The sequence below is a fragment of the Homo sapiens genome, chromosome 6 (genome assembly GCF_000001405.40).
Source record: "Homo sapiens chromosome 6, GRCh38.p14 Primary Assembly".
NCBI classification, from domain to species: Eukaryota; Metazoa; Chordata; class Mammalia; order Primates; family Hominidae; genus Homo; species Homo sapiens.
Window position 1 is genome coordinate 40,161,326 of NC_000006.12, and position 11,717 is coordinate 40,173,042.

General features: G+C 46.6%; 1 long non-coding RNA gene across 8 annotated transcripts; it reads left to right on the forward strand.

Moving 5' to 3' along the window:
* The first annotated feature begins 3,360 nt into the window (after window positions 1–3,360).
* On the forward strand, window positions 3,361–10,400 carry LOC105375049 (uncharacterized). Of its 8 annotated transcripts, XR_926780.2 has the most exons (7): window positions 3,361–3,635; window positions 4,473–4,514; window positions 5,947–6,079; window positions 7,437–7,639; window positions 7,721–7,813; window positions 8,024–8,089; window positions 10,079–10,400. It is a non-coding gene; the product is annotated as an uncharacterized LOC105375049 (long non-coding RNA). The 8 variants fall into 8 exon arrangements; XR_926777.4 differs by having other exon boundaries at window positions 3,361–4,514; XR_001744114.1 differs by having other exon boundaries at window positions 4,473–6,079.
* Window positions 10,401–11,717: the final 1,317 nt, after the last annotated feature.

Below are 11,717 nucleotides of genomic sequence, written 5' to 3' on the forward strand. Positions count from 1 at the left end.
CCAGAAATTGTGTTCTACCTAGTTCTGGAGCCATCTGACAGCAGTTCTTCTGGCATGAATAAAATAGGATACAGAAAGCCTAGAAAATTGGGTTAACTAGCTCATTATCAGAGCAACAACCAACAGCCTTAAGTTCACCCGCATCACAAGTCTGCTTCTGCAATCAACACATTCTATATATCAGCTGAGCAGGCCGGGACCCTCAGAACTAGAACTCTCAAATTCTGTGAGCTTCATATTTGAGCTTGGCAGAGCCCAACATCCCTCACCTGACATGGTTCCATATCCATATCATAGCTTCCAGGCTCAAAGACTCAGCCATGTAAGATTTTAGGCACCTACAGGGACCTGGGTTTAAGTCACTGTCACTTGTCCTCCACCTTGCCTTTTTGCCTGTCCCCAGGAACTTCTGCTAAATTAAGTGTTAGAGCTGAAAGTCTGTATGAATTCCTGGCCATCTCCCCAGCCCTTACTCATAAGTTACAGCCATGGCTACACAACCGTGAGGCCAACAGTTCAATGTTGCAGCGAGTAGCACCTGTAGACTAATTAGCAAGCCTTCCTCAACCTGAGAGTAATTCTATTCCTCTAGATGGAATCTTTCATTAAAGCAGCTAATGCAGTTTATGTGAACCGTCCTGGATTACTGGCCCAGGTTTGACCTTGCAAGATTGTTTATCACCAGCCATACTTTGGGAACCCTGAGAAGCTAAGCAACTTTTCATCCATGCCTTAAAGAAAGGACATTTGATATCTGAAGACACTTGAACAGGGTCATACGATTCTAGGTGTAAGGTCTGGATAGGTGAGTGCTAAGCAGACAATCGGGCACCACAGCTAGATTTAGAGCCTGCCAGGCTACAAGGAGGTATAAGGCACTTAGGTTCGAGTGACATATTTGTTACCAATTGAGCAGGAGTGCCATGCTGCAGGAAGAGTGCAGGTGCTAAGACACCTGTGACAAGCTCAGAGTAGGAGTACTCTACCAGCTAACATTTACTGAGCACGTACTAAAATGTGCGCTGCACTATATCCACAATTGTGTAATCACAATCCTCAGCTTAAGCCACTTTTCCAGTTGTTACTCACCTGAGTTTAGAGCCATTAAATAGCTCCCAGGTGAACTCAAGCTCATATCCCCCAACCACTATCACATTACACTGCTGTGAAGTTATTTCCACATACAGGACCCGAGATTGATGCCCTGGTCAAACAGTAGTTCCATGACAGAAGTAGATCTAATCCTGAATCCAGACTCAGGCACTCCTACCTGTAATCTGAAAGTAATTGTTCCCGAAGCACTTCAAATGGCCTCCAGAAGAGATATTTTAAGGAGTTTTAAGTTCGTGGCCCTTAAACTAGATCATGGCTAGGCAGACTCCACACTGACTGCCCCTTGCCCAGTTTTCAAGGCAGTCCAACACTTCCCACACAGCTTCCCAGTTCAGTGGGCTGAGCCACCTCCAGGCCCCTGGTTCTCCTGCTTCCCAGGCCAGCCGCCTATCAACTCCCCAACGTTCCCTTTGTGCGTATTTAGGCTTTATTTGCTTCTCTAAAGCCTTCAGCCTGTTTGAGTTTGATAATGGGTCCCCCCTCCAGATTAGCTATGCTCTGACCCTTAGTGCACCTGAATTTTGTCTCTGCCAATATACTGCATTAAGTACTGCACTCTAGCCCATCCCTGGGAACTGCCAGGGAGAGCACCCACGTGTAGCTCTAGATTAGTGGAGGAACTCTCATCCAGGTAGAGGATGGCATGTCAGGCCATTACTGTCACAGCTGTGGGCTCCGAACTCCCCTTAGGTGAGGTAGGCGAGTATGGTATCTCAGGCCTAAGCCATCAGGGAGTTTCTGGGAGCTTTTTAGTTATGCTTCTATTAGAGAAATTCCTGTCAGTCCAGTCCCTACTTAGGATCCATCCCCAGGGCAGTGCCCGAGGAAGGGATTTGAGCAACACCCATAAGGGAAAACCGTAGTTCTTAAAGGTTGATACTGTAACTATCATCTGGTGTTCCAGTTCAACCCACATTAGGTATTTATTATCTTCAGCTGTAGGAGACGTGGGTCTTCAGGTTTAAGAGATTTTTGGCAGATTCAAATTCACGTTTCTGTCTGGCTTTTGCAATAGCACACCTGTTCCCATTTTTATCAGTGGTGGGAAGAGATTTTAGGACAAGATTTCTTCAGAGCAACCCTGTAGCTGCTCGTTTCTGAGGGAGTGTATCAAAAGGCTTAAGGGATAGAAAAGGAAGTAAGGGGCCACCATCCCCAAGACCTGGTCACAGAAGCCAGGCTACGGGTTTGCTCAAGGGTACAAGGATGTTGGTGAGAGCAGGAAAGTCTCATCTGTCATCTTAGAAGATGCCAATAAGTCACTGCCTGCTAGAAGCTTTTGAATTGTTTCTGTGAGTCGGAGACAGCAAGTCACCCCAAGTTCCTATGCAGTAGTTCAGGCCTATCTGTACACCCCCTTCCTATTGCCTAGAAAATCTTATAGCTTTAAGGACGCTAGCAGAGCTAGCCTCCTCACTCCATAGGGCCACTTATCCTAAGCAACCCACTCCTAAAGAAGGTTCACTCATGGGAGGGAGAAAGCAAGCTTTCCTTAGTACACTTTTAGTTATCATGGGAGTTTTAGGCATTTTCCCCAGTTATATAGTCCCCACGACAGTTTCTCCTGTAAGTAAGGAGACAAAAAAGCAGGGGGTTTAATAAAGGACAGGATTCTAGTAGACCCCAATAAGGGCTCCTGCCTTTAATCAGCCAGCTTGCACGTTAGGGCCCTGCAAGTCACATGAATGAGGCCGGCAGAGGGAGGCTGCTTCATGTACTGCAGCTTACTACACAAACAGAAGAAACTCACCCAGGAAAATTCAGAGAGGTTGGTTTTAAGAGACCACCGTTCTCCCCTACCCCCGCCCCCCAACTCCCTTTCCCACCCAGGAAAATTCAGAGAGGTCGGCTTTCAGAAACCACCATTCCCCGCCCTGCCCCCCACCTCTTTTCCCACAACATTCCTCTATTAGAAAGACAGAAAGAAAGAAAGGCTTTATACAACACTCCCCAGCTTCTCCCTACTTTCTTCCCTACAACCCAGGGAAAGCACCCAACACACACAACCGCCCACTCAGCTTCCACCAGCCACAAGCCCTTCCGACTGCAGACAGCAACAGCTGGTGCCGCCCTTCGCCCTTTTCTAGACGGTGAAGGCTAAGTCCCACCCCCCTGCCTCAAAGCACTCTGGGTGAGCAGCTACTCCTTTGGTTTCTCATTGGCTCTCTCGCTCTCAATCAACAGCTAGTTACCAGCCCCTCCAAGCATTTCCTGGTCCACATGACCAATAGCAGCAAGGAGAAGTGGAGGTTTATTGCCTGGCTATAGACAGCCCGAGAAAGAAAGTTAGCTTCCCACCCCCGGCAGCTGCAGTGATTGGAAAACGAGCCTGAGCCTTTTCACCGAAAAGAATATATCATTATCCGTTGGGTTCGCCCTACTTCCCTGTTAAGAATCACCTGAAGTGCCTAAAAATCCGCGAGTTTCAGGGCTTTTCCCTGGAAATAATGATTTAGAACGTCCTGGGGGAGGGCCTAGGAGTCTGTGGGTTTAATAAGCACCTCCAGGATTTGTGTCTTCGGGTAAGGTGGCGTAATACTAAAGAGCTGGTATTCAAAAGTTTCTTTCCAAGAAATTGCTTCTGTTACCCTGTTACGTTTATCCAAATATTCTCTGTTAGTTGCTCTTTTAGAGTTGAATTTCTCCAGCAGCTCCCACAAATAAGCAGTTTTTCCTGGAAGGGGAAATGTAACAGTTTAAGAGGGGGCTGGCTAGTCTTGATTTTCGCAGTACACCGTCACCCCACCACCTCCTCAGCCAGTGAGCCACAGATGTGTGTGGGGTGTCCATTATCAGCCTGTTCAGCTGGATCGGTTTGTGACCCTAAAGTGAATCTCCAGACTGAGTAGGATGATAGTGTAGGCAGAAGCCTTTTAAAGGAGGGAACTGGGGTGTGGAACGAGCAAGTTTCAGAGCCTCACTGGGCAGGCCTGGGCAGCCAGAAGACTGTGGGAATACACAGAAGGTGGCTTTTTGTGCACCATGGGCTGTGGCAGGAGAACTTGTTATTCCCACCCTAGTATCAGAAATGCTCCAAGAGAGAGCAAAGGTTAAATACCGTGGTGTGTTCCTCCAGGTTCACCGTGGGAAAAACCCTTTGCTCAGGGGCTGTCTGGCAGAAGGTGCTGGCATCCACACCCTTGTCAGAACCCTCCATAGACTGAGCAGCTAGATCACCTAAGCTGATGGAGCTTTCCTGCAATACCAGACACTGGCATCCATGAAGCGAAGTCTTAGGGTGGGCATTTTGTGGAAAAGAGAGAGGAAAGAAGGATTTCTTGGGGTTAACAGAAAGTGGATGTAGATAAAGGGAATTCTCCAGTCTTGCACCGCTAACATGGTGCAATATTCACAAACAGACATGATTCGTGCTTGTGGACAAAACTGACCTCGGAGCTGAGGTGAGTGACAAACCAAAGTTGCCAGGCCTGAGTAGGGTCCTCGTGCCCAGAGGAGAAAGAGAAAAAACAAAGGAACTCTTTTCACTAAATTCACCAGCTATCTTCTGATCCAGTTAATTAACTGGGAAAACTAAATTAAACCCTAACGCCTTATTCATCTTTGAGGGGACCTGTGATGTCTCTGAGCACTAATGGCAGGGAGGTGGGCAGTGCTGGGCTGGAACATCTCCCATGGACAGCCAAGCAGCATTCTGTTAATCGTGGCTATTAAACTGCTTTCTTGGGAGTTGTTTTTGATCCATGTGGAATAGATTAAGAGTCTGTTTTGAATCCCCTAGAGTTTCCTGTGGAGCATAATTAGAGATGCATTGGAATAGGAATTCAGGTCAACACTTTAATGAGATGTCTGAAGAGTATGGCCCAGCAAGGGGGAGGGTAGAGGGAGTGGAGTGGTGGAGATGAGGAAGGGACATTGTCAGGATGAGGGGGCAAAAGAATGAAGATTTTTGTGAGGAGGTGAATGAAAGACAAGGAACCACAGAGGAGAGAGAAATGGAGAGTGAGAGAAGCAAGGAAATGAGAAGTGAGTAGCATTCACTGTGTCCTACCACATGCCAGGCACGTTTTCAAAGATGATGAGAAAAACAGTTGAGAAAATGATACTGGAAGCCCATGGAGAGGTTCACAGCCTTGGATTCTGATGCTTGTCTTGAATCTATCTGGAGACAGTAGAGAGATAGGGAGAATGGGCTTTGTCATCAAACAGACCTTGGTTTGATTCTTAATCCCGTCCTTTTTGAGCTCTGTGACTGTTGGCAAGTCACTGACCCTCTCTGAAACTGTTTCCTCACCTGTCAAACGAAGGTTAACTATATAATGTTTATAACACTCCCAGAATGGACTATTGTCTAGCATATATTAGATGTTCAATAAATTATTGTTACAATGAGGAATCTGAGGATGAGAGAGGTCAGCTTGGCCTAGGAGCTCATAACTAGTCAGTAACAGAATTGAAAGGTAAGCCCAGGTTTGTCTGATCTCCACTGCCACCAAGCAAAATGTACATACATGACTGACCTTCTGTGGGGGAAAACAAGGTCTGTTCTCCACAGGGTGACCCTTAGCCCATGATGACAGTCCTTATAAGTGGTACTGGCACTGAATGGAGAGCTAAACCAGCTTCAACCAATTTCAATCAGCTATGGCAGGATTTTAAAATTTAGATTTGGTGACATTACTTCCACAGACTGGTTTTCACAGGGCATGCCCTTGCTTGTATCTCCCCATAGGTATGTAAAGTTGCATCCCTTGCTGAGTTCATTCCAGGGCTGAGTTCCCATGATATACCTTGCACTATTTCAGTGCCCTAAGGATGATATAGTCCCATTGGAGAACTGTGGCAGTCTCTAATGGTGGTATGCTGCTCTTCAAGTTCTAGAACCTGCTGCAAGAGTCTGCCTTTGGGATCCATGGGAGGGCTCACACCAAGGTCACAGTCTTCCCCAGGCTGCTCCCAGTCCACAGCACATGGCAGGAGTACTGGAGCTGGGCCACTTCTGCTCAAGGTGGGACTTCCTTAATAGGGAGGCTCTAGGGCTCACCATCACCTGGGAGGTGCACTGCAGTCTGAGTCTCGTCCTGATTCTCCTTCCTTCTCCACTCTTCTTCCTCAGGGGTCAGACATCCATCACAGTCTGAACTCTCCCTGCCTATGCCTCCTCCCTCTCTCATCTTTCCTAGGAGTTTCCCCTCAAAAAATCTTTCACTTCTATGTTGATGTCTGCTTCCCAGAGCATCTAAACTGACAAAAGAAACAACATCCATTATTTATTTTATAAATGATGATGTAAGCCAACTGATCAACAGAATTCAGTTTCCTCCTAACTCCCTCTTGAGCTGTTCACTTCTCTCCAACTCCACAGTCACCACCTTAGTTCAATCCCCCGTCACTATCAGTTAGGATCCTGGCAGGACACTAGAAGACACACTCAAATTGGGTAATTTGTTGAGAAGTTAACAAAGGGACAATTTACAAAGCTGTAATTCCAAGCTGCAACCTTAGCTTAAGGAAGCAAGGGACATGGCCTGCCTGCATCGACTTGAGGTGAGGGATAAATACCTCAACCTTACTCTACTCCCTCCTATTGCGTTTTGGTGCTCCCTCTGGACCAAACCTAAGTGGAAGCCAGAGGGGACAGGAGCCCATTGATGGAAGTCAAGGTCAGCTTCCCAAGACACAGAAGGGTCGCGAGTGAATCTGGAGCGGCAAAAAGATGATATTTGGCACAATTGTGCCTTGCCCAAAGATTTGCAAAATCATGCTATCCTCACTGCTTTCCTTTTAATCTTTCTCCTCATTCAAACCAGGGTGACATTTTAAAGATAGTGCCAACTCTCCTAGCTACCTAACTTGCTCAGTGGCTTCCCCACACACTCAGGATTAAGGATCTGACTTCCACTCTATCCTCACTTCTTGTAACAACTCTTAGGTGGAAGTAAAAACCTGACCTTGCCCTCCTTCCTAGAATACCCTCCTCTCCCCTCAGCTCTTTACCTGGCACCTCCAACTCATTCTTCATGTCACCTCCTCTGGGTATCCACTGTCCCCTGCCCCTTTTACACCAAACAGTTTCCTCTAAGTCTCCTCCCATGACTCGTAAATTTTGCCTTCATAACACATTAGTTTTCAATTATTCATTTACATACAGGGCTGTTTGATTAATGACACCTCCCATAAAGACTAATTTCTGTGACATCAGTGACTTTGCCTGGCTCAGTGTTGCCTTCCCTGAAGCTAGCACAGTGTGGCACCCTATAGATATTTGTTTGATAAATACATAAAATGCTATGGGCAACCTAAGCTAATATATTTTGGAGTTGAGGATGGTTCTGATTTTAAACATTTCTTCCTCTTACTTTCAGTCAAGCATTGAAAAATCCTGGAACTTTCAATATTTATGTAGCCAAAGTGTCTCTCTTGCTCACTCACTTGCTTGCTTGTGTACCACTAATTGAGCAACTACTATGGGCCAGATGCTCTGGAAAATGTTGTTCTGAAGAGGAGTACTAATCTTCACCAGTGGTGCACCTAGCTGTATTTTGCACATTAGGAAACAGACCCAGAGGTAAGAAACAAGTTGCTATCTGATCACCCAATGAGGAATACAATCCAATTCTTTTATTTTTCTATGCTTCCCTCTCTCCAGGCACACCTCCCAGATGCATCTTCCTCATGGGGTTGTCGCAGGGTTTAAGAAAATGAACTCATATAAAGGGCTCAGAATAGTGTCTGGATCACAGTAAGTGCAATCACTGTTAGTTCTTATTAATGTGCCATCCTCTTCCTCCTTAAACTTCCAAACTTTTGCATGAAATATTATTCCTACCAAGTGAACCCCCTCCTACCACCTTGCAAATCATATCAATGTAATTTTATATAAAGATCAGTTCAAGACACATGGCTCTGGACTCTATTCAAAGCTTATATCTCCTGATTGTATTGGCTCCAGGAACTCTGAAGAATTTATGTCAGTGATTCTGAAGTGAGAATGGAACATGGATCCAACCCCTCTAAGGTGAGGAAGCTGAGCCCCAGAAAGGGAACCCAACCTGTTCTCATGTCAGAAAATGCTACAGTTTCACCCACTGTTCAGTATTTATTTCTGGCTCTTAATGCCAGCCTTGCCTTCTCTGCCCCTTAGGGCTTTCCTTGTCTCTGGGCATGTGCCTAGGAGGGGTACAGCACCCCCTTTCTTACCACCATTTTTCCTTACCATCCCTGTAGTCACACACTTTAGCCCTCTCATTGGAGGTGGTCTAGTGTAAATCATGGAGGGGTGGTGGCACATCACATATATTACCACCTCTTCCATTTCTTCTCCCCAGTCATTCCCCTATTTCTTGCTCCTGTTGTCTGTACAAGCTGAATTACTGTCCCCAATCTATAGACACTTGAGATGCTCTCATTTCAGAGGAATTTCTCCAGCTTCTGGAATTGAATACCTCTTGGGCACCGCTTCTTATTCCTTTGGCCACCCCTACCCCAGCCCCAGCCATAGTGGCCTGTTCCATGCAGTCCTAGAGCACCTTCGTGTCTGTGCACCCTGACACTGCCTCACATTTGCCTCCATTGCACACCCTGGATTCCTGCCCTCCAGCTTTTCTGGTGCTGAGGTATGGGATGCCTGCGGGGAACCACTGGGCTCCCTGATGGGCACAACTTGACAGCTCCTGGGGAATTAACACCCTTGACCAGTAGCGATAGGAATCAAGGCCTCCTCCTCTTGTTGCCCACTGTGCGGGGCTGAGATGCACTGCATAAGGGCCCGGTGACAAGAGACTTGCAGCAGGGCCCACTGAGCAGCACATCATTAATGCGTTTCCCTCCTTCCCTGATTTACTTCCCCCGTCCTTTGCTCCTGCTCCCTGGGATTACTTTCTATGCAAACTCCCTGCACACAAGTCTTTTCTCAGTCTCTGCTTTTGGAGAATCCAAACTAAGATACAAGTGACTCCTGGGGCTACAACATCCATTTCCGCTGAGCATTGTTTGCCTCACAGTTCCTCATGGACTCGTTTTCACTTTTCAAAATCCTCATCCTTCAAGGATCATCTGAGATTCTATCACCCTGATCACATCAATCCACAACAATCATTTCTCTTCCAGGGTAGCTATACCCTTTTTTAAGCACTTAACAAAAGTTCTCTCTTCTTTTCTTCTCCTTGATGATAATAATGAATAAGAACAGCTAACAATTATCCAGCTGCCACTGTAAACCCTAAGATTATAAACAGCTTGAAGCCAGGGCCTATGCCTAGGTCCGCAGAGAGCCTAGCATAGGGTTTAGCCCAAATTCTGTGATCTTCCTTGAACTCCTTCAGTAACAGATGGCTTTGTTGCAGGCACCAGAGCCTATTGGGGTGGCTGTCTTTCTCCCTGCCGTGCCTGGTTTCTCAACTGCAGGGAAGACACATGTTCCTTGCATCCTTGCTAAAAGCTCTATCAAGAAAAGTGAAGTGTCACCCAACCCAATGCATGAGCCTGCAAATCATACTTGACCTCTAATGCCCAACTCAACCACCACCTCCTCCATGAAGGTCCCTGATACTTCCAGAAATAACTCTCCATTCTCTGAATTCCTGCAGGCTTTTATCTGTACCCTTTTTATGAAGTGGGACAACTCGTTTTTAGACAACTTTTGCAATTATATCCATAACTTGTCTGTTCTTGCAGCAATGGGTAACTTCAGGGAAATGACCAAACCCTAGGGCCTAGCACTTTCTATTAATAGTTGTGGATATATTTTGAATGAATGAACAACTGAAGGTGAGAAGAGAGACTGAGAGGCTGGAGGCAAAAGATTATCAGGGCTTCTGGATCCTGATCAGTCGTGGGAGGCCCAGAGTTGCAGATTTATAAAGATGATGGCAGAGTCTACCACTTGTCCATGCAAACTCGTTTTTCTCTTTTTACATAAAATGTATAATTGGGCACACTCGGCCACCAGAATATATTTCCCAGCCTCTGTGCACCTTATGACTCAGTGCTGATGTTTGATGTACAGGCAGAAGAGATGTGAGCAGATTACCTTCTCTGTCCTTAAAAGGAGTGGCCCTGCATTCCCTGAGAGGGCATAGCTGGGGCAGTCATCTGGACCCACCAGACAGGAGCTGAAGCTTGATAAAAGGTGCCTGGTTCCAGTGACTATGGAGCAGCCTGCCAGCACTAGAGGAGTCACAGAGATGTCTAGATGAGTCACAGAGACATTTACATGACAGAAAAATAAACAACTATGTTGTTTAAGCCATTATTAGTCAGTCTTTCAGTTCAAGCAGCTACACGTGTATTTTAATTAATACCAAGACAGCTCTGTAAGTTTGATCCATCCTGAAGAATTGAAAAGAGGGCATATGCCAGAGATATGTCAGGCCAAGGAGTTACAATAGGTATAGGGTGGGGGTGAGGGGCAACTGGGTGGCTAAATGGACTCTTGGCACAATATATATGTGGGCTGACATACTGTGGTGTGGTCCTGTCTCTTCAAATTGGAGGTAGCTGGTTGGGCTAACTGGTGAGCCCAAGCTAGAGATGCAGCTCAAGGGAGCAGGAACTACAGAAGGTGAACCACGCAAGGAAGCAGGGCAGGGAAGGAAGCTGGTAGGGAGAACCCTGATGGGAGTCACTGATTGTAACCACAGGTTCCTGACCAGAGAACTCTGATACAGGCACAGAGGCTACAGGGGCCAGAGCGAGATGTTGAATCCAAGCCAGATCCAAGAGTCAGGAACTGGGTTGGGGTGGAGAGTGGCAAGCAAGCAGACTCTGGGGTGATCTCCATGTGTACAGGTGAGCCTATGGTGAATGGCAATGTATGGGGCACTACACTGGATTAATGATACAGAGGAGCATCAAGGGGCGGTTTCACTTCTCACAGTGTATCCTATGCTTGGAATACCTGCCCCTGCCCATTTCTTCAGGTGTTCACTTAACCTAAAAGACTCAGCTTGGGTGTCACCTTCTCCAGGAAGCCCTCCATGAAACTGTCCACCAGGCTGAGGCAGCTGCCTCTCTTCTCAGCTTCTTCTAGACCCATTTTTCTCTATGTTATAGTAATTGTCCGTCCGTTATTGCATCACAGTTTATGGGTGAATTTGACAGTGTTCTCTGAAGACAATGATACTTGCCTTCATTGTCTCAGTGCTTCTCATAGTTCTGGACACAGATGGGACCCCAGTAAACCTAGATCAAACTATAGGGAAGAGCAGATGGATGACCATGTGGAAGCACAGTGTGTCAGCCTCAGACATCACAGCGTATGAGGGTGAATGCAGCCTCTGAAAGCCCATTGAGATTCTGGGAGGGCATTGGGAGGTGGGAGCAGGCAATGAGTAGAAGGGATGGTCAGGACTGGGCTGCTTCCAGTAAGGCCCCAAAGCTGCTCAGAACTGCATAACTCATTATCACCCTGCATCCCCAAATACTGGTCCCCAGAAGAGAAAATTATCAATAACCAAAGGAGCAAATAAACATCCCAGGATTGAACACTGCATATACCAGATTACACAATACTCATTCTATCCATTTCTCTGCCTTGTGCCCCTGGGAGAGAGGAGGCTGGAGAAAATTCTGCATTTCCCTCTCACCACCATCCCCCCACCCCACACCCACACCCCAAGATGTGTTTCCTTTAGAGAGGAAGGTCA